We start from the raw sequence: 20302 nt of genomic DNA, 5'->3' as shown, positions 1-20302 counted from the left end.
GTCGACTGGAATAAAATCGAAAGCAATGGCATGGCATGGAATGGAATGATATGGAATGGAATGGAAAGGAATCGGATGGAAATGAATGGAATGGAATGGAGTCGAATGGAATACAATTGAATGGAATGGCATCGAATGGAATGAAATGGAATGGAATGGAATTGCAACTAATGGAATGGAATGGAATCGGAAAGATTGGAATGGAATATAATGGAGACGAATTAAATAGAATCTAATGGAATGACATCGAATGGAATGGAAAGGACAGGAATTGACTCGAATGGAATGGAGTCGAATGGAATAGAATGGAATGGAATGGCATCGAATGGCACGGAATGTAATGAAATGGAGTGGAAAGGAATGTACCCAAATGTAATGGACTCAAATTGAATGGACAAATAGAATGGACTCGAAAGTAATTGTCTCGAATGGAATTTATTCAAATAGAATGGAATCGAATGGAATTCAATAGTATGGAACGGAATGGAATGGAATTGCATTGAATGGAATAGACCTGAATGGAATGGACCGGAATAGAACAGACATGAATGTGATGGAATGGAATGGAATTGATTTGAATGGAATGGTATCGAATGGAAAATATTCAAATGGAATGGAATGGAATGCAATGGAATGGAATAGAATGGAATGTAAAGGAATAGAACAGAGTGGAATCGAGTGGAATAGAATCGAATGCAATGGAATCGAATGGAATGGAATCGAATGCAATGGGCTCGAATGGAATGGACTGGAACAAAATGGAAGCGAACCTATTGGAATCAAACGGCATGGAATGGAATGGAATAAAATGGACTCGAATGGAATGGACTCAAATGGAATGGAAGGGAATTAATGTAATTGAATGCAATCAAAAGGAATAGAATGAAAGGGAGTGTAAAGTAAACATATCCAATGTAATGGAATGGAATAGAATGGACTCAAATGGACTGGAATCGAATTTAGTGAACTGGAATGGAATGCACTCGAATGGAATGGACTGCAACAAAATGGAATCGAATGAATTGGAATCGAATGGAACATAATGGAATGGAATGGATTCCAATGGAATGGACTGGAACAAAATGGAATCGAACGTCTTTGAATCGAATGGAATGAAATGGAATGGAATGGAATGGAGTCGAAAGGAAAGGAACCGAATGGAATGGAATTGAATGGATTCGAAAGAAATAGAATGCAACGGAGTGTAATGTAAAGATCTCCAATGGAATGGAATGAAATAGAATGGACTCGAATGGACTGCAATGGAATGGAATTGGAATGGAATGGACTGCAGTGGACTGGACTCAAACGAAATGTAATCGAATGGAAAGTAAAAGAATGGAATGGAATAGAATAGAATGGAATGGAATCGGATGGAAAGGAATTGAATGGAATGGAGACGAATGGAATAGAATCGAAAGGAATGGCATCGAATGGAATGCAATGGAATGGAATGGAATGGAAAGGAATGGACTGGAATGGAATGTTATCGAATGTAATAGAATAGAATGGAATGGCATCGAATGGAATGGAATGGAACCAAATGTAGTGGACTCGAATGTAATGGAATCCGAAAGAATGGACTCTAAAGGAATGGTGTGAAATGGAATTTATTTGCATAGAATGGAATCGAATGGAATGCAACAGTATGGAATGGAATCGAGTGGAATGGAACAGAATTGAATGGACTGGAATGCAATGGACTGCAATAGAAAGGACTCCAATATAATGGAAAGAAATGTAACTGATTCGAATGCCTTGAAAGCGAAAGGAATGTAATCAAATGGAATGGAATGCAATGCGAAGGAATGGAATAGAATGGAATGCAATGGAACAGAATGGAGTGGAATCTAGTGGAATGGAATCAAATGGAACGGAGTCGAATGGAATGGAATCGAATGGAATGGACTGAAATGGAATGGACTCGAAAGGAATGGACTGGAACAAAATGTAATCAAATGGAATGGAATCGAAAGGAATGGAATAGAATGGAATGGAATTGACTCAAAAGGAATAGAGTCGAATGGAATGGAATTGAATCGAATGGAATCGAACGGAATGGAATTGAATGGAATCGAAAGGAATAGAATGGAATGGAGTGTAATGGAAAGATATCAAATGGAATGGAATGGAATGGACTCAAAAGGATTGGACTTGAATGGAATGGAATCGAATGGAATGGACTCAAATGTAATGGAAACGAATGGAATGGAATGGAATTGAATAGAATGGAATGGAATGGAAAGGAAAGCAATATAATGGAAAGGAATCTGATGGAACGAAATGGAATTGAATGGAGTTGTAGGGAATAGCATACAATGGAATGTCATCGAATAGAATGGAATGGAATGGAATGGAATGGAATGGAATGGAATGGAATGGAGTCGAATGGAATGGAATGGAATTGAGTCGAATGGAATGGAGGCGAGTGGAATAGAATTGAATGGAATGGCTTGGAATGGAATGGAATGGACTCGAATGAAATGGAATCGAAAGGAACAGAATGGAATGAAATGGAAAGGAATAGACTGGAATAGAATCGGATTGAACAGAATGGATTGGAATGGAGTCGAATGTAATATAATTGAATGGAATTGCATGGAATGGAATGGAATGGAATGAATGGATTCGAATGGAATGTACTCTAATGGAAATGAATCAAATGGAATGGCATGGAATGGAATGGACCCAAATGAAATGGACTCGAATGGAATGGACTCAGAATGGACTCGAAAGAAATGGTCTCAAATGGAACTTATTCGAATAGAATGGAATCAAATGAAAAGCAATAGTATGTAATGGAATTGAATGGAATGGACTGGAATGGAATGGATTGGAATAGAAAAGACTCAAATGAAATGGATTGCAAAGTATTTGATTCAAATGGAATGGAATCGAATGGATTGTAATCAAATGGAATCGAATGGATTGCAGTGGAATGGAATAGAATGGAATGCAATGGAAGGGAACAGAGTGCAATCAAGTGGAATGGAATTGATTTGAATGGAATCGAATGGAATGGACTGCAATGCATTGTACTCGAATGGAATGGACTAGAACAAAGCAGAATTGAACGGATTGGAACCAAACTGAAAGGAATGGAATGGAATGGAGTGGAATGGTATGGAATGGAGTTGAATGGAATGAAACTGAATGGAATGGAAATGAATGGAATCGAAAGGAATAGAATGAAAGGCAGGGTAATGTAATGATATCCAATGGGATAGAATGGAATAGAATGGACTAGAATGTACTGGAAAGGAATAGACTCGAATGGAATGGACTACAGTGTAATCAACTAAAATGAAATGGAAACGAATGGAAAGGAAAGGAATGGAATGGAATCGGATGGAATGGAATGGAAGAGAATGGAGTCGAATGGAATAGAATTGAATGCAATGGCATCAAATGGAATGGAATGGAATGGAATGGAATGGTATGGAAAGGAATGGACTCGAATGTTATGGACTAGACTGGAATTTAATAGAAAGGAATGGAATGGAATAGAATGGAATGGACTCGAATGGAATGGACTGGAACAAAATGCAATCGTATGGCTAGGAATCAAATCGCACGGGTTGGAATGGAATGGACACGAAAGGAATGGAGTCGAATGGAATGGAAACGAATGGAATGGAATTGAAAGGAATACAAATGAATAGAATGGAATGGAGTGTAATGGAAAGATATCGAATGCAAAGGAATGGAATGGAATGGTCTAAAATGGAATAGACTGTATTGGAATGGACTCGAATGGAATGGAATGCAGTGGAATGGACTCGACTGGAAAGGAAAAAAACGGAATGGAATGGAAAGGAATAGAATGGAATTGAACTGGATGGATCGGAATAAAAAGGAATGGAATCAAATGGAATAGAATCGAATGGAAAGTCGTCGACTGGAAGGGAATGGAATGGAATCGAATGGAATCAAATGGAATTGAATTGAATGTAATAGAGTCGAATGGAATGGAATTGAATGGAATCGAAAGGAATGGAATGGAATGGAGTGTTATGGAACGATATCAAATGGAATGAAATGGAATGGACTCTAAAAGAATGGACTGGAATGGAATGGACTCAAATGGAATGGACTGGAGTGGTATGGACTCGAATGGAATGGAAACGAATGGAAAGGAATGGAAGAGAAATGAAGAAAACGGAATGGAATCTGATGGAAAGGAATGGAAAGGAATGGAGTCGAATGGAATGAACTTTAATGGAATGTATTCAAATGAATTGACTGAAGTGGAATAGAATTGAGTGCAATGGAAACGAGTGGAATGGAATGGAATGGAATGGAAAGGAATGGAATTGAAAGGAATATATCGGAATGGAATCTGATGGAATGGAATTGAATTGAATGGAGTCGAATGGAAGTGAATCAAATTGAATGGCATCAAATTAAATGGAATGCAATCGAATGGAATGGAATCGAATGGAATGAACTGTAATGGAATGCAGTCTAAAGGAATGGAATGCAAAAGAAAGGAATCGAATGGATTGGAATCGAACGGAACGGAATGGAAAGGAACGGAATGCAATGGACTCGATTGGAATGTAGTCGAATGGAATGGAATCGAATGGAATGGAATCGAATAAAAAGGAATTGAATGGAATTTAAAGAAATAGAATGGAATGGAGTGTAATGAAAAGATAGCAAATGGAATGGAATGGACTTGAATGGAATGGACTTGAATGTAATTGACTGGAATGGAATGGACTGGAGTGGAATGGACTCAAATGGAATGGAAATGAATGGTATGGAATGAAATTGAATGGATTGGAATGGAATAGAATGGAAAGGGATTGGATGGAACGGAATGGAATGGAATGGAGTTGACTGGAATAGAATCAAATGAAATTTAATCGAAAGGAAGGGAATGGAATGTACTCGAATTGAATGGACTCGAATGGAATTGAATGGAATTGACTGTCATTGAATGGAATGGAATGGAATGCAAATGGATTGGAATGGATTGGAATGGAATGGAAAGGACCAAAATGTGATGGACTCGAATGAAATTGACTCAAATGAAATTGAACGGAATGGACTGTCATTGAATGGAATGGAACGGAATGCAAATGGAATGGAATGGAATGGAGTGGAATGGAATGGACCCAAATGTAATGGACTCGAACGGAATGAACTCAAATGGAATTGAAAGGAATGGAGTGTCATTGAATGGAATGGAATGCAAATGGAACGGAATGGGAGCAAATGTAATGGACTCGAATGGACTGGACTCAAATAGAATGGACTCAAAAGGAGTGGTCCTGAATGGAATTTATTTGAATGGAATGGAATCAAATGAAATGCAATAGTATGGAATGGAATTGACTGGAATGGAATTGAAAGGAAAGGACTGGAATAGAATGGAGTGGAATAGAATGGATTCGAATATAATGAATTGAAACGTAATTTATTCGAATGAAATGGAATAAAATGGAAAGTAATAAAATGGAACGGAATGGAATACAGTGGAATGGAATAGAATGGAATGCAATGGAATGGAACAGAGTGGAATCGAGTGCAATGGAATTGAATGGAATATATTCGAATGGATTGGAATCGAATGGAATGGACTGGAAAAAAATGGAATAAAACCAACTGGAATCGAACGGAACGGAATGGAATGGAAATGAAGCGAATGGAATGGATTCGAATGGAGTGGAACCGAACGGAATGGAATTGAATGGAATGGAATTGAATGGAATCGAAAAGAACAGAATGGAATGGAGGGTAATGGAATGATATCGAATGGAAAGGAATGGAATGGACTCGAATGGAATGGACTGGAAGAGAATGGACTGGAATTCAATGGAAAGGAGTGGAATGGACTCGAATGGAATGGAAACGAAACGAATGGAAGGGAATGGAATAGAAAGGAGGAGAAAGGAATGAAATCATACGTAACGGAATGGAATGGAATGGAGACGAATGGAATAGAATCCAATGGAATGGCATCGAACAGAATGGAATGGAATGGAATGGAAGGGACGCGAATGGAATGGAGTCGAATGGAATGGAAACGAATGGAATGGGATTGAATAGAATGGAATTGAATTGAATCAAATAGAATAGTATAGAATGGAGAGTATTGGAAAGATATCAAGTGGAATGGAATGGACTCGAATGAAATGGACTGGAATGGAATGGAGACAAATGTAATGTACTGGAGTTGAATGGACTCTAATGGAATCGAAACGAATTGAATGGAGGGAATGGAATTGAAAGGAATAGAATGGAACAGCATCGGATGAAATGGAATGGAAAGGAATGGAGACGAATGGAACAGAATCGAATGGAATGGAAAGAAATGGAATGGACTCGATCGGAATAGAACAGAATGAAATGAGATCGAATGGTATGGAAAGAATGGAAAGGAATGAAATGGAATGGAACGGAATGGAACCAAATACAATGGACAAGAATTGAATGGACTCAAATAGAATGGACTCGAAAGGAATGGTCTCGAATGGAGTTTATTCAAAAAGAATGGAATCGAATGGAAGGCAATAGTATAGAAAGGAATAGAAAGGAATGGAACCAAATGGAATTGACTGGAATGGAATATATTGGAACAGAATGGACTCGACTGTAATGGATTGCAATGTAATTTATTTGAACGGAATGGATTCAAATCTAATGTAATAAAATGGAATGGAAGGTATGAAATGGAAGGGAATAGAATGAAATGCAATAAAATGGAAGGGAGTGGAATCGAGTGGAATGGAATTGAATGGAAAGGAATAAAATGGAATGGACTGGAATGGAATGGACTCGAATAAAATGGACTGGAACAAGATGGAATCGAAAGGATTGGATTCGAATTGAATGGATTGTAATGGAATGGAATGGAATCGAATGGCAGGGAGTCGAATGGAATGGAACCGAATGGAAAGGAAACGAATGGAATGGAATTAATGGATTTGAAAGTATAGAATGGAATGGAGTGTAATCTAGAGATATTGAATGCAATGGAATAGAATGGACTCGAATGGAATGGAGTCAAAAGGAAAGAATTGAAAGAAATGGAATTGAATGGAACGGAATTGAATAGAATCGAAAGGCACAGAATAGAATGGAGTGTAATGGAAAGATATCGAATAGAAAGGAAAGGGATGGAGTGGATTCGAATGGAATGGATTTGAATGGAATGGACTCAAATGGGAAGGACTGGAATGGAATGGGCTCCAATAGAATGGACTGGAGTGGAATGGACTGGAATGGATGGGAAAAGAATGGAATGGAATGGAATGGAAAGGACTAAAATGGAATGAAGTTGGATTTAAGGGAATGGAATGGAATGGATTCGAATGGAAGAGAATCGAATGGAATGGCATCAAATAGAACCAAAAGGAATGTAATGGAATGGAATGGACTCCAATTGAATGGACCCGAATGGAATATAATCGAATGGAATTGCCTTAAATGGAATAGAATGGAGCGGAATAGAATGTAATGGAATGGAATGGAGTCGAATGGAATGGACTCGAATGGAATAGAATTGAATGAAATGGCCTTGAATGGAATGGAATGGAGTGGAATGGAATGGAATGGAATGGAATGGAATGGAATGGACTCAAATGCAATGGACTCGAATGGAATGAACTCAAAGAGAAAGGACTCGAAAAGAATGTTCTCAAATGGAATTTATTCGAATACAATGGAATCGAATAGAATGCAATAGTATGGAATGGAACTGAACGGAATGGAATCGAATGGAATGGACCGGAATGGAATGGACTGAAATAGAACGGACTCAAATGTAATGAATGGCAATGTAACTGATTCGAATGGAAAGGAATATAATGGAATGTAATCAAGTGGAATGGAATGGAATGCAATGGAATGGAATAGAATAGAATGGAATGCAATGGAATGGTACGGTGTGGAATCGAGTGGAATGGAATCGAATGGAGTGGAATCGAAGGGAAAGGAATTTAATGGAATGGACTGGAATGGAATGGACTCGAATGGAATGGACTGGAACAAAATGGAATCGTGCAGATCACAATCAAATGGAATGGAATGGAATGAAAAGGATTTAACTAGAATGGAATGGAGTAGAATGGAATCAAATGTAATGGAATTGAATGGAGTCGAATGGAATAGAATGGAATGGAGTGTAATGGAAAGTTATCAAATGTAATGGAATGCAATGGAATCGAATGGAACGGACTGGAATGCAATGGACTAGAATGGAATGGACTGAAGTGGAATGGACTCAAAAGGAAAGGAAACGAATGGAATGGAATGGAATGGAAAGCAATGGAATGGAATGGAATGGAATAGAATGGAATGGAATTAGATGGAACGGAGTGGAATGTCATGGAGTCGAATAGAATAGAATCCAATCGAGTGACATCGAATGGAATGGAATGGAATCGAATGGAATCGAATGGAATGGATTCGAATGGAATGGAATCGAATGGAATGGAATAAAATATAATGGAATTGAATGGATTCGGAAGGAGTAGAATGGAATGGAGTAAAATGGAAAGAAATCGAAAGGAATAGAAAGGAATGGACTCGAATGGAATGCACTACAATTGAATGGACTCTTATGGAATGGACTGGAGTGGAATGGACTCGAAAGAAATGGAAACGAATAGAATGGAATGGAATGGAATGGAAAGGAACAGAATGGAATGGAATAGGATGGAATGGAGTGGAATGTAATGGAGTCAAATGGAATAGAATCCAATGGAGTGACATCGAATGGAATGGAATGGACTCGAATGGAATGGACCAGAACAAAATGTAATCGAATGGATTGGAATTGAATGGAACTGATGGAATGGAATGGATTCGAATGGAATGGAGAGCAATGGAATGGAATTAAATGAAATCGAAAGGAATAGAATGAAATGGAGTGTAAGTTAAAGATATGCAATTGAATGGAATGGAATGGAATGGATTCGAATGGAATGGACTGTAATGGAATGGACTCGAAATGAATGGACTGGAAAAAATGGAATCAAACGGATTGAAATTTAATAGAACTGAATGAAAAGGAACGGAATGGAATTAAATGGATTCGAATGGAATGGAGTCGCATGGAATGGAATCAAATGCAATGGAATCAAATGGAATAGAATTGAATGGAATCGAAAGGAATAGAATGGTATGGAGGGTAATGGAAAGATAACGAATGGAATGGAATGGAATGGAATGGAATGGAATGGAATGGAATGGAATGGACTCGATTGGAATGAACTGGAATGGAATGGACTAGAATGGAATGGCCAGGAGGGGAATGGACTCGAATGGAATGGAAAAGAATGGAATGAAATGGAGTGGAATGGAATGCAATGGAATGGAATGGAAATGAATGGAAAGAAAAGGAGTGGAATGGAATGCAATGGAATGGAATGGAAACGAATAGAATGGAATGGAATATGATGGAACATAATGGAATGGAATGGTGTCGAATGTAGTAGAATCAAATGGAATGCCATCGAATTGAATGGTATGGAATGGAATGGACTCGAATGGAATGGAGTCGAGTGGAATAGAGTCAAATGGAGTGTCATAGAATGGAATGGAATGGAATAGAATGGAATAGAATGAAATGGAATGAAATGGAATGCAATGGAATGGACAAAAATGTCATGGACTAGAAAAGAATGGACTCAAATTGAATGGACTTGAAAGGAAAGTTCTCGAATGGAATTTATTCGAATAGAATGGAATCGAAAGTAATGCAATAGTATGGAATTGAAACGAATGGAATGGAGTCTAAAGCATTGGACTCGAAAGGAATGGACAGGAATTGAATGGACACGAATGGAATGGACTGGAGTCGAATGGAATCAAATGGAATGGACAAGAGTGGAAATGAATTGTATGGAATGGTAAGGAATAGAATGGAATGGAATCAGATGGAACAGAATGGAATGGAATGGAGTCGAATGAAACAGAATTTAATGGAATGGCATCGAATGGAATGGAATGGAATTTAATGGAATGGACTCAAATTTAATAGAATAGAATGGAATGGCATCGAATGGAATTGAATGGAATGGAGTGGACCCAAATGTAAAGGAATCTAATGGAATGGACTCAAATAGAATGGACTCAAAAGGAATGGTCTCAAATGAAATTTATTCTAATAGAATGGAATCGAATTTAATTCAGTACTATGGATTGGAATAGAATGGAATGAAATCAAATGGAATGGAATGGAATAGAATGGACTGGAATAGAACAAATTCGTATGAAATGGATTGCAAAGTAATTGATTCGAATGGAATGGAATCAAATGGAATGTAATCAAATGGAATGTAATCAAATGGAATGGAATGGAAGGCAATGGAATGGAATAGAATGGAATGCAATGGAATGGAATGGAGTGGAATCGAGTGCAATGGAATCAAATGGAATGGAATCGAATGGAATGGACTTGAATGGAATGGACTCGAATGGAATTTACTGGAACAAAATGGAATCAAACGGATTGGAATTGAATGGAACAGAATGGAATGGAATGGACTCGAGTGGAAAGGATTTGAATGTAATGGAACTGAATGAAATGGAATCGAATGGAACGGAATTGAATGAATTTGAAGTAACAGAAAGGTGTGGAGTGTAATGGAAAGATATCGAATGGAATGTAATGGAATGGACTCGAATGGAATAGAGTGCAATTTAATGGACCCAAATGAATGGACTAGAGACGAATGGACTAGAATGGAATGGAAATGAAAGGAATGGAATGGAGTGGAAGGGAAAGGAATAGAATGGAATGGAATTGGATGGAACTGAATGGAATGGGATGGAGTAAAATGGAATAAAATCGAATGGAATGGCATAGAATGGAATGGAATGGAATGGAATTCAATGGAATGGACTCGAATGGAATAGAATCAAATGTAATGGCATGGAATGTAATGGCATGGAATGTAATGGAATGGAATGGAATGCAATGGAATGGAATGGAATGGAATGCAATAGAATGGAGTGGACAAAACTGTAATGGACTCGAATGGAATGGATTCAGATAGAAGGGACTCGAAAGGAATGGTCTCAAATGGAATTTAGTCGAATAGAATGGAATCGAATGGAATGAAATAGTATGGAATGGAATCGAATGGAATGCAATCAAACGGAGTTGACTGCAATAGAACGGAATCGAATGCAATGGATTGAAAGGTAATTGATTCAAATGGAATGGAATCGAATGGAATGTAATCAAATGGAATAGAATGGAATGCAATAGAATGGAATAGAATGGAATGAAATGGAATGGAACGGAATGGAATCAAGTGCAATGGAATCGAATGGAATGGACTGCAATGGAATGGACTCGAATGTAATGGACTGGAACAAAATGGAATCTAACACATTGGAATCATACAGAACGGAATGGAATGGAATGGAATGGAATGGAATGGATTAGAACGGAATAGAGTCGAATGGAATGGAACCGAATGGAATGGAATTGAAAGGAATAGAATGAAATGGAGTGTAATAGAAAGATATCGAATGGCATGGAATGGAATGGAATGGACTCGAATGGAATGGACTGGAGTGGAATGGATGCAAATGGAATGGACAGGAGTGGTATGGACACGAAAGAAATGGAAACGAATGGAATGGAAGGGAAGGGAATGGAATGGAATGCAAAGGAATAGAATGGAATGGAATCAGATGGAATGGAATGGAGTCAAATGGAATAGAATCCAATGGAATGGCTTCGAATGGAATGGAATGAAATGGAATGGAACAGAAAGGATTTACTCGAATGGAATGGACTCGAATGGAATGGAGTCAAATAGAATGGCATCAAATGAATGGAATGGAATGGAATGGAATGGAATGGAATGTCATGGAATGGACCCAAATGTAATGTACACTAATGGAATGGAATCAAATAGAATGGACTCCAAAGAGAATGGCCTCGAATGGAATTCATACGAAAACACTGGAATCTAATTGAATGCAATACTATGGAAATGAATCAAATGGAATGGAATCAAATTGAATGGAATCAAACGGAATGTAATCAAACGGAATGCAATGGATTGGAATAGAATAGAATGCAATGGAATCGAAAGGAGTGGGATCGAGTGGAATTGAATCGCTTCAAATGGAATGGAATAGAATGGACTGAAATGTAATGTACTCGAACGGATTGGCCTGGAAAAAATGGCATCGAATAGATTGGAATCGAGTGGAACAGAATGGAATGGAATGGAATGGACTCGATTGGAATGTAGTCAAATGGAATGGAATTGAATGGAATGGAATCAAATACAACGGAATTGAATGGAATCAAAAAGAATAGAATGGAATGGAGTGCAATGGAAAGATATGGAATGGAATGGAATGGAATGGAATGGAATGGAATGGACTCAAATGGAAAGGAAACAAATGGAATGAAATGGAATGGAAGGGAAGGGAAGGGAAACAATTGGAATGGAATGGAATGGAATGGAATGGAATGCAATGGAATGGAATGGAATGGAATGAAAAGGAATAGAATGGAATGGAATCAGATGGAATCGAATGGAGTGGAATGAAGTCAACTGGAATAGAATCGAATGGAATGGCATCAAATGGTATGGAATGTAATGGAATGGAATGGACTCGAATGAAATGGACTCAAAAGGAATACAATGGAATGGAAGGGCAAGGAATAGAATGGAATGGAATGGAATGGAGTGGAGTAGACCCAAATGTAATGGACTCGAATGGCATGAACTCAAATAGAATGTACTCGAAATGAATGGTATTGAATGGAATTTATTCCAATATAATGGAATCAAATGGAATGCAATAGTATGGAATGGAATCGAACGGAATTGAATCGAATGCAAGGGACTGGAATGGAGTGGACTGGAATAGAACTCAGTTGATTGTAATGGATTGCAATGTAATTGATTCGAATGGAATGGAATCAAATGGAATGTAATCAAATGCAATGGAATGGAATAGAATGGAATACAATGTAATGGAACTGAGTGGTTTCGAGTAGAATGGAATTGAGTGGAATGGAATCGAGTGGAATGGAATCGAGTGGAATGGAATCGAATGGAATGTAAAGTTATGGAATGGACTGCAACAAAATTGAATCGAACCAACTGGAAACGAGTGGAATTGAATGGAATGGAATGGAATTAAATGGACTAGAATGGAATGGACTGGGATGGAATGGAATGGAAAAAAATGGAATGGAACGGATTGGAATCATGCGGAACGTAATGGAATGGAATGAAATGGACTCGAATGGAATGGAGTCGAATGGAATGGAATTGAATACAATGGAATCGAACGTAATTGAATTCAATGGAATCAAAAGGAATAGAATGGAATGGAGTGTAATGGACAGATATCGAATGGAATGGAATGGAAAGGACTCGAATGGAATGGACTGGAATTTAACAGACATGACTGGAAAGTACTGGAGTGGAATGGACTCGAATGCAAAGAAAACGAATGGAATTGAAAAGAATGGAATGGAAAGGAATAGTATGGAATGGAAGTGTATGGAATGGAATGCAGTGGAATGGAATGGTCTCGAATGGAATGGACTCAAATGGAATAGAATAGAATGCAATGGTATCGCATGGAATGGAAAGGAAGCAAGCGCAGTGGAAAGATATCGAATGTAATGGAATGGACTTCAATGGAATGGACTGGATTGGAATTTTCTCGAATGGAAAGGACTGGAGTGGAATGGACTCGAATGGAATGAAAACGAATGGAATGGAAAGGAAAGGAAAAGAATGGAATGGAATCAGATGGAAAGGAATGGAATAGAATGGAGTCAAATGGAATAGAATCCAATGGAATGGCTTCGAATGGAAAGGAATGGAATGGAATGGAATGGAATGAAATGGAATGAAGTCGAATGGAATGGACTCGAATGAAATGGAATCGAATGGAATGGCATCAAATGGAATGGAAAGGAAAGGAAAGGAATAGACTCAAATGTGATGAACTCAAATGGAATGGACTCAATTAGAATGATCTCGAAAGGAATGGTCTCAAATGGAATTTATTCGAATTGAATGGAATCGAATGGAATGCAATAGTATGTAATGGAATTGAATGGATGGAGTCAAATGGAATGGACCGGAGTGGAATGGACTGGAATAAAATGGAAAGGAAAGTAATGTATTGCAATGTAATTGATTCGAATTGAATGGAATTTAATGGAATGTAATCAAATGGAGTGGAATGGAATGCAATTGAATGGAATAGAATGGAATGCACTGGAATGCAATGGAGTGGAATCGAGTGGAATGGAATCGAATGGAATGGAATCGATTGGAATGGATTGGAATATAATGGACTCGAATGGATAGGACTGGAACAAAATGGAATTGTACAGATTGGAATTGAACTGAATGGAATGGAATTGAATGGAATGGACTCGAATGGAATGGAGTCAAGTGGAATGGACCCGAATGGAATGGAAAGGAATAGAATGGAATTGAAGAGAATTGAAAGGAATAGAGTGGAATGGAGTGGAATGGACAGAAATCAAATCGAATGGAATGGAATGGACTCGAATGTAATGTACTGGAATTGAAATGGCTCGAATGGAATGGATTGGAGTGGAATGGATGGGAATGGAAATGAAACGAATGGAATGGAAAGGAATAGAATGGAATGGAATTGGATGGAAGGCAATGGAATGGAATGGAGTCGAATGGAATAGAATCAAATGGAATGGCATCGAATGGAATGGAATGGAATGGACTCGAATGCAATAGAATAGAGGGGAATGGCATCAAATGGAATTTAATGGAATGGAATGGACCAAATTGTAATGAACTCGAACGGACTGGACTCAAATAGAATGGACTCAAAAGGAAGGGTCTCGAATGGAATTTATTCAATTAGAATGGAATGGAATGCAATAGTATGGAATGGTATCAAATGGAATGGAATCGAATGGAGTGGACTGGAATGGAGTGGACTGGAATAGAACGGACAGGAATGTAATGGATTGCAATGTAATAGATTCGAATGGAATGGAATCGATTGGAAAAAAATGGAATGGAGTGTAATGGAAAGATGTCAAAAGGAATGGAATTTAATGGAATGGACTCGAGTGGAATGGACTGGAATGGAATGCACTCGAATCAAATGGACTGGAATGGAATGGACTCGAAAGAAATTGACAGGAGTGGAATGGACTCGAATGGAATAGAAACGAATTGAATGGAATGCAATGGAATGGAATGGAAAAGTATAGAATGGAATGGAGTCGGATGGAATGGAATGGAATGGAGTAGAATGGAATAGAATCGAATGGAATGGCATCAAATGGAATGGAATGAAATGGAATGGAATGGACTCGAATGGAATGCACTTGAATGGAATATAATCGAATGGAATGGCATCGAATGTAATGGAACGGAATGTCATGGAATGGAATGGACCCAAATGTCATGGAATCAAATGGAAAAGAGTGGTATGGCATGGAATCGAATTGAATGGAATCGAATGGAATGGAATCAAATGGAATGGACTGGAAAGGAATGGACTGGAATAGAACGGACACGAATGTAATGTATTGAAATGTGAATGATTCAAATGGTATGGAATCGAGTAGAATGTAATCAAATGTAATGGAATGGAATGCAGTGGAATGGAATAGAACGGAATGCAATGGAATGGAATGCAGTGGAATCGAATGGAATGGAATTGAATGGAATGGAATCAAATGGAATGTACTGGAATGGAATGGAATAGAATGGAATGGATTGGAACATAATGCAATCGAACGGATTGGATTTGAATGGAACGGAATGGAATGGAATGGATTAGAATGGACTGGAATCAAATGGAATGGAATTGAATGGCATTGAATCGAATGAAAAGGAGTTGAATGTAATGGAAAGAATAGAATGGAATGGAGTGTAATGGAAAGATATCGAATGAAATGGAATGAAATGGAATGGACTCGAATGGAATGGACTGGAATGAATTAAATCGAATGAAATGGACGGTAGTGAAACGGACTCAAATGGAATGGAAACGAATGGAATGGATTGGAATAGAATGGAATGGAAAGGAATGGAATGGAATGGAGTCGAATGGAATATAATCGAATGGAAATGAATCAAATGAAATGGAATGGCATGGAATGGAATGGACACGAATGGAATGGACCGGAATGGAATGGACTGGAATAGAATGGACTCGAATGTAATGGTATCCAATGCTATTGATTTGAATGGAATGGAAACGAATGAAATGTACTCAAATGGAACGGAGTGGTATGCAATGGAATGGAATAGAATGGAATGCACAGGAATGGAATGGAGTGGAATCCAGTGCAATGGAGTCGAAAGAAATGGAATCAAATGGAAGGGAATCGAATGGAATGGACTGGAAAGGAATGAACTCGAATGGTATGGACTGGAACATATTGGAATTCAACGGATTGGAGTCGAACTGAAAGGAATGGAATTGAATGGATTGCAAGGGAATTGACTCGAATGGAATGGAGTCGAAAGGAATGGAACCGAATTTAATCGAATGGAATGTAATAAAATGGAAAGTAATGGAATGCAATGGAATGGAATAGAATGGAATGCAATGGAATGGAATGGTGTGGAATCCAGTGGAATTTAATCGAAAGGAATGGAATAGAATGGAATGGAATCGAATGGAATGGAATAGAATAGAATGGAATTGAATGGAAACGAAAGGAATAGAATGGAAGTGAGTGTAACTGAACGATATCGAATGGAATGGAATGGAATGGACTCGAATGGAATGAACTGGAATGGAATGGACTCGAATGGAATAGACTGGAGTGGAATGGACTCGAATGGAATGGAAACGAATGGAATGGAATGGAATGGAATGCAATGGAGTCGAATGGAATAGAATCGAATGGAATGGCATCGAATGGAATGGAATGGAATGGAATGGAATGAACTCGAATGAAATGGACTCGAATGGAATGGAAACGAATGGAATAGAAACGAATGGAATGTCATGGAATGGAATGGAATGGAATGGAATGGAATGGAGTCGAATGGAATAGAATCGAATGGAATGGCATCGAATGGAATGGAATGGAATGGAATGGAATGAACTCGAATGAAATGGACTCGAATGGAATGGAAACGAATGGAATAGAAACGAATGGAATGTCATGGAATGGAATGGAATGGAATGGAATGGACGCAAATGTAATGGACTCGAATGGAATGGAGTCAAATAGAATGGACTCGAAAGGAATGGTCTCGAATGGAATTTATTCGAATAGGATGGAATCAAATGGAATGCAATAACACGGAATGGAATCGAATGGAATGGCATCGAATTGAATGGATCAGAATGCAATGGGCTGGAATAGAACTGACTTGAATGCAATGGATTGCAATCTAATAGATTTGAATGGAATGGAATCGAATGGAGTGTAATCAAATGGAATGGAATGGAATGCAATAGAATGGAATAGAATGGAATGCAATGGAATGGAACAGAGTGGAATCGAGTGGAATGGAATCCAAAGGATTCCAAATGGAATTAAAAGGAGTGGAATCGAAAGATTGGACTGCAATAAAATTGAATCGACAAGACTGGAATCGAATGGTACGGGATGGAATGGAATAGAATGGAATGGACAGGAATGGAATGGAATCAAACGGATTGGAATCGAAAGGAATGGAATTGAAATGAATCAAAAGGAATGGAATGGAAAGGAGTGTAATGGAAAGATATCAAATGAAATGAAATGAATTGAATGAAAAGGACTCAAATGGAATGGTCTGGAGTGGAATGGACTGGAATGGAATGGACTCAGATGGAATGGACTCGAATGGAATGGAAATGAATGGAATGGAATGCAGTGGAATGGAATGGAAAGGAATAGAATGGGAAGGAATCAGATGGAACGGAATGGAATGGAATGGAGTTGAATGTAATACAATCTAATGGAATGGCATCAAATGGAATGGACTGGAATTTAATGGAATGGAATGGACTTTAAAGGAATGGATTCGAATGGAAAATAATCGAATGGAATGACATGGAATGGAATGGAATGGAATGTCATGGAATGGAATTTACCCAAATGTAATGGACTAGAAACGAATGGACTCAAATAGAATGGACACGAAAGAAATGGTCTCGAATGGAATTTATTCGAATAGAATGGAATCGAATGGAATGCAGTAGTATGGAATTGATTCGAATAGAATGGAATTGAATGGAATGGACGGGAAAGGAATGGACTGGAATATAGCGGACATGAATGTAATGGATTGCAATGTGATCGATTCGAATGGAATGGAATCAAATAGAATGTAATCAAATGGAATGGAATGGAATGCAATGCCATGAAATAGAACGGAATGCAATGGAATGGAATGCAGTGGAATCGAGTGGAATGGAATCAAAAGGAATGGAATAGAATGGAATGGACTGGAATGAAATGGAGTCGAATGGAATGGCCTGGAACATAATGGAATCAAACGTATTGGAATTGAAAGGAAGGGAGTGGAATGGAATGGAATGGGATGGACTTGAATAGAATGGAGTCGAATTGAATGGAATCGAATGAAATGGATTTGAATGGAATGGAAAGGAAAATAATGGAATGGATTGTAATGGAAAGATATCGAATGGAATGCAATGGAATGGAATGGACTCAAATGGAATGGACTGGAATGCAATGAACTCAAATGGAAAGGACTGGAGTGGAATGGACCCGACTGGAGTGGAAACGAATGGAATGGAATGGAATAGAATGGAATGGAATGGACTCGAATGGAATGAATCGAATGGAATGGCATCGAATTGAATGGAATGGAATGGATCCAATTATACTGGACTCGAATGGAATCCACTCAAATAGAATGTACCCGAAAGGTATGGTCTCGAATGAAATTTATTCAAATAGAATGGAAAGAAATGGATTTGCAATAGTATGGAGTGGAATCAAATGGAATGAAATCAAATGGAATATACTGGAATGGAATGGAGTGGAATGGAATGGACTCAAATTGAATAGATTGGAGCAAATTGGAATCGAACGGATTCGAAAGGAATGGAATGGAATGGAATGGACTCGAATTGAATGGAGTCTAATGGAATGGAATCGAAAGGAATGGAATCGAAAGGAATGGAATTGAATGGAAACGAAAAGAATAGAATGGAATGGAGTGCAATGGAAAGATATCAAATGGAATGGAATGGAATGGAATCAAATGGAATGGATTGAAATGAAATGGACTCGAATTGAATGGACTGGAATGGAATGGACTCGAATGGAATGGAAACGAATGGAATGAAATGGAATGCAACGGAATGGAATGGAAAGGGATAGTATGGAATGGAATCAAATGGAATGTAAAGGAAGGGAATTGAGTCGAATGGAATAGAATCAAATGGAATGGCATCGAAGGGAATTGAAAGGTATGGACTCGAATAGAATGGACTCGAATGGAATGGCATCGAATGGAATGGACGGGAGTGAAATGGACTCGATTGGAATGGATACAAATTGAATGGAATGGACTGGAATCGAATAGAAAGGAATGGAATGGAATGGAATGGAATGGAATGGAATGGAATGGAACGGAATGGAAAGGAATGGAGTCGAAAGGAATATAATCAAATGGAATGGCATCAAAATGATTCGTATGGAATAGAATGGCATGGAATGGAATGGAATGGAGTGGAATGGACTCGAATGGAAGAGAGTGGAATGTATTCAAATGGCAATACTCAAAAATAAAGAAAAAAAAACACCTACTGCCTCACTGAATTAAAGGCGTGTTCAGCAGTTTCTTTGTTATTTCAAAGAGTGGCATCTGCTTCAGCAGGGTCAGTTTTTAATGTATTTGTTTTGTTTCTTTTTTCTCTGTCTGGTGTTCTTTTCTATTTTATTATAATTTTTTAAATTTGAGGGATGAGATTTTCATAGTACTGAATATCAAACAATGAATCCGCATGAATGATTCACCTAATTTCCTTGGTTTTAGTCCTCTATAAAGGTTTTATATAGCAAAAGAACCATTTAAAGACTTGGGTTACAAATGTATTTTATTTTATCTCTGGCATGCCTTGGGCTGAGAAAGCTTTATATGGTGGCACAATATTTGTAACATTCTCATAGCCATCTGGTGGTGGTTCGAGGTATGACGTTTTGAAAATCTAACAAGAATTAAAATATGTCAAGTTAGAGAGAAAAATTCCAGATTATTATTAAGATATAATTCATTTTGCCCCAAGTATATACTTCAGATTAAGCATCCTGGAACTAGGTTCTATAATTAAATAGATAAATTACACTGACAACAATGAGAAAGAGCCTTATCATTAT

At 38.0% G+C, this 20302-nt stretch overlaps 12 annotated features.

Annotated features, from left to right (window-relative positions):
* Window positions 1212-1916: an enhancer, noted in NCBI's record as "OCT4-NANOG-H3K27ac hESC enhancer chr10:39094355-39095059 (GRCh37/hg19 assembly coordinates)". NCBI's record gives its function as "activates a minimal SCP1, AML or CMV promoter by ChIP-STARR-seq in primed H9 embryonic stem cells {active_cell/tissue: H9 hESC(primed)}" and the evidence as "EXISTENCE:reporter gene assay evidence [ECO:0000049][PMID:30033119]".
* Window positions 1917-2623: an enhancer, noted in NCBI's record as "OCT4-NANOG-H3K27ac hESC enhancer chr10:39093648-39094354 (GRCh37/hg19 assembly coordinates)". NCBI's record gives its function as "activates a minimal SCP1, AML or CMV promoter by ChIP-STARR-seq in primed H9 embryonic stem cells {active_cell/tissue: H9 hESC(primed)}" and the evidence as "EXISTENCE:reporter gene assay evidence [ECO:0000049][PMID:30033119]".
* Window positions 7864-8442: an enhancer, noted in NCBI's record as "OCT4-NANOG-H3K27ac hESC enhancer chr10:39087829-39088407 (GRCh37/hg19 assembly coordinates)". NCBI's record gives its function as "activates a minimal SCP1, AML or CMV promoter by ChIP-STARR-seq in primed H9 embryonic stem cells {active_cell/tissue: H9 hESC(primed)}" and the evidence as "EXISTENCE:reporter gene assay evidence [ECO:0000049][PMID:30033119]".
* Window positions 8443-9021: an enhancer, noted in NCBI's record as "OCT4-NANOG-H3K27ac hESC enhancer chr10:39087250-39087828 (GRCh37/hg19 assembly coordinates)". NCBI's record gives its function as "activates a minimal SCP1, AML or CMV promoter by ChIP-STARR-seq in primed H9 embryonic stem cells {active_cell/tissue: H9 hESC(primed)}" and the evidence as "EXISTENCE:reporter gene assay evidence [ECO:0000049][PMID:30033119]".
* Window positions 10760-11338: an enhancer, noted in NCBI's record as "OCT4-NANOG-H3K27ac hESC enhancer chr10:39084933-39085511 (GRCh37/hg19 assembly coordinates)". NCBI's record gives its function as "activates a minimal SCP1, AML or CMV promoter by ChIP-STARR-seq in primed H9 embryonic stem cells {active_cell/tissue: H9 hESC(primed)}" and the evidence as "EXISTENCE:reporter gene assay evidence [ECO:0000049][PMID:30033119]".
* Window positions 11339-11918: an enhancer, noted in NCBI's record as "OCT4-NANOG-H3K27ac hESC enhancer chr10:39084353-39084932 (GRCh37/hg19 assembly coordinates)". NCBI's record gives its function as "activates a minimal SCP1, AML or CMV promoter by ChIP-STARR-seq in primed H9 embryonic stem cells {active_cell/tissue: H9 hESC(primed)}" and the evidence as "EXISTENCE:reporter gene assay evidence [ECO:0000049][PMID:30033119]".
* Window positions 12134-13088: an enhancer, noted in NCBI's record as "OCT4-NANOG hESC enhancer chr10:39083183-39084137 (GRCh37/hg19 assembly coordinates)". NCBI's record gives its function as "activates a minimal SCP1, AML or CMV promoter by ChIP-STARR-seq in naive and primed H9 embryonic stem cells {active_cell/tissue: H9 hESC(naive and primed)}" and the evidence as "EXISTENCE:reporter gene assay evidence [ECO:0000049][PMID:30033119]".
* Window positions 13089-14045: an enhancer, noted in NCBI's record as "OCT4-NANOG-H3K27ac hESC enhancer chr10:39082226-39083182 (GRCh37/hg19 assembly coordinates)". NCBI's record gives its function as "activates a minimal SCP1, AML or CMV promoter by ChIP-STARR-seq in naive H9 embryonic stem cells {active_cell/tissue: H9 hESC(naive)}" and the evidence as "EXISTENCE:reporter gene assay evidence [ECO:0000049][PMID:30033119]".
* Window positions 14046-15001: an enhancer, noted in NCBI's record as "OCT4-NANOG-H3K27ac-H3K4me1 hESC enhancer chr10:39081270-39082225 (GRCh37/hg19 assembly coordinates)". NCBI's record gives its function as "activates a minimal SCP1, AML or CMV promoter by ChIP-STARR-seq in naive H9 embryonic stem cells {active_cell/tissue: H9 hESC(naive)}" and the evidence as "EXISTENCE:reporter gene assay evidence [ECO:0000049][PMID:30033119]".
* Window positions 15002-15958: an enhancer, noted in NCBI's record as "OCT4-NANOG-H3K27ac-H3K4me1 hESC enhancer chr10:39080313-39081269 (GRCh37/hg19 assembly coordinates)". NCBI's record gives its function as "activates a minimal SCP1, AML or CMV promoter by ChIP-STARR-seq in naive and primed H9 embryonic stem cells {active_cell/tissue: H9 hESC(naive and primed)}" and the evidence as "EXISTENCE:reporter gene assay evidence [ECO:0000049][PMID:30033119]".
* Window positions 15959-16914: an enhancer, noted in NCBI's record as "OCT4-NANOG-H3K27ac-H3K4me1 hESC enhancer chr10:39079357-39080312 (GRCh37/hg19 assembly coordinates)". NCBI's record gives its function as "activates a minimal SCP1, AML or CMV promoter by ChIP-STARR-seq in naive and primed H9 embryonic stem cells {active_cell/tissue: H9 hESC(naive and primed)}" and the evidence as "EXISTENCE:reporter gene assay evidence [ECO:0000049][PMID:30033119]".
* Window positions 16915-17870: an enhancer, noted in NCBI's record as "OCT4-NANOG-H3K27ac-H3K4me1 hESC enhancer chr10:39078401-39079356 (GRCh37/hg19 assembly coordinates)". NCBI's record gives its function as "activates a minimal SCP1, AML or CMV promoter by ChIP-STARR-seq in naive and primed H9 embryonic stem cells {active_cell/tissue: H9 hESC(naive and primed)}" and the evidence as "EXISTENCE:reporter gene assay evidence [ECO:0000049][PMID:30033119]".

The sequence above is a fragment of the Homo sapiens genome, chromosome 10, assembly GCF_000001405.40.
Source record: "Homo sapiens chromosome 10, GRCh38.p14 Primary Assembly".
Lineage (NCBI taxonomy): Eukaryota > Metazoa > Chordata > Mammalia > Primates > Hominidae > Homo > Homo sapiens.
Note: the sequence above shows the minus strand (reverse complement) of the source record. Positions and strands in the feature narration are given on the sequence as shown.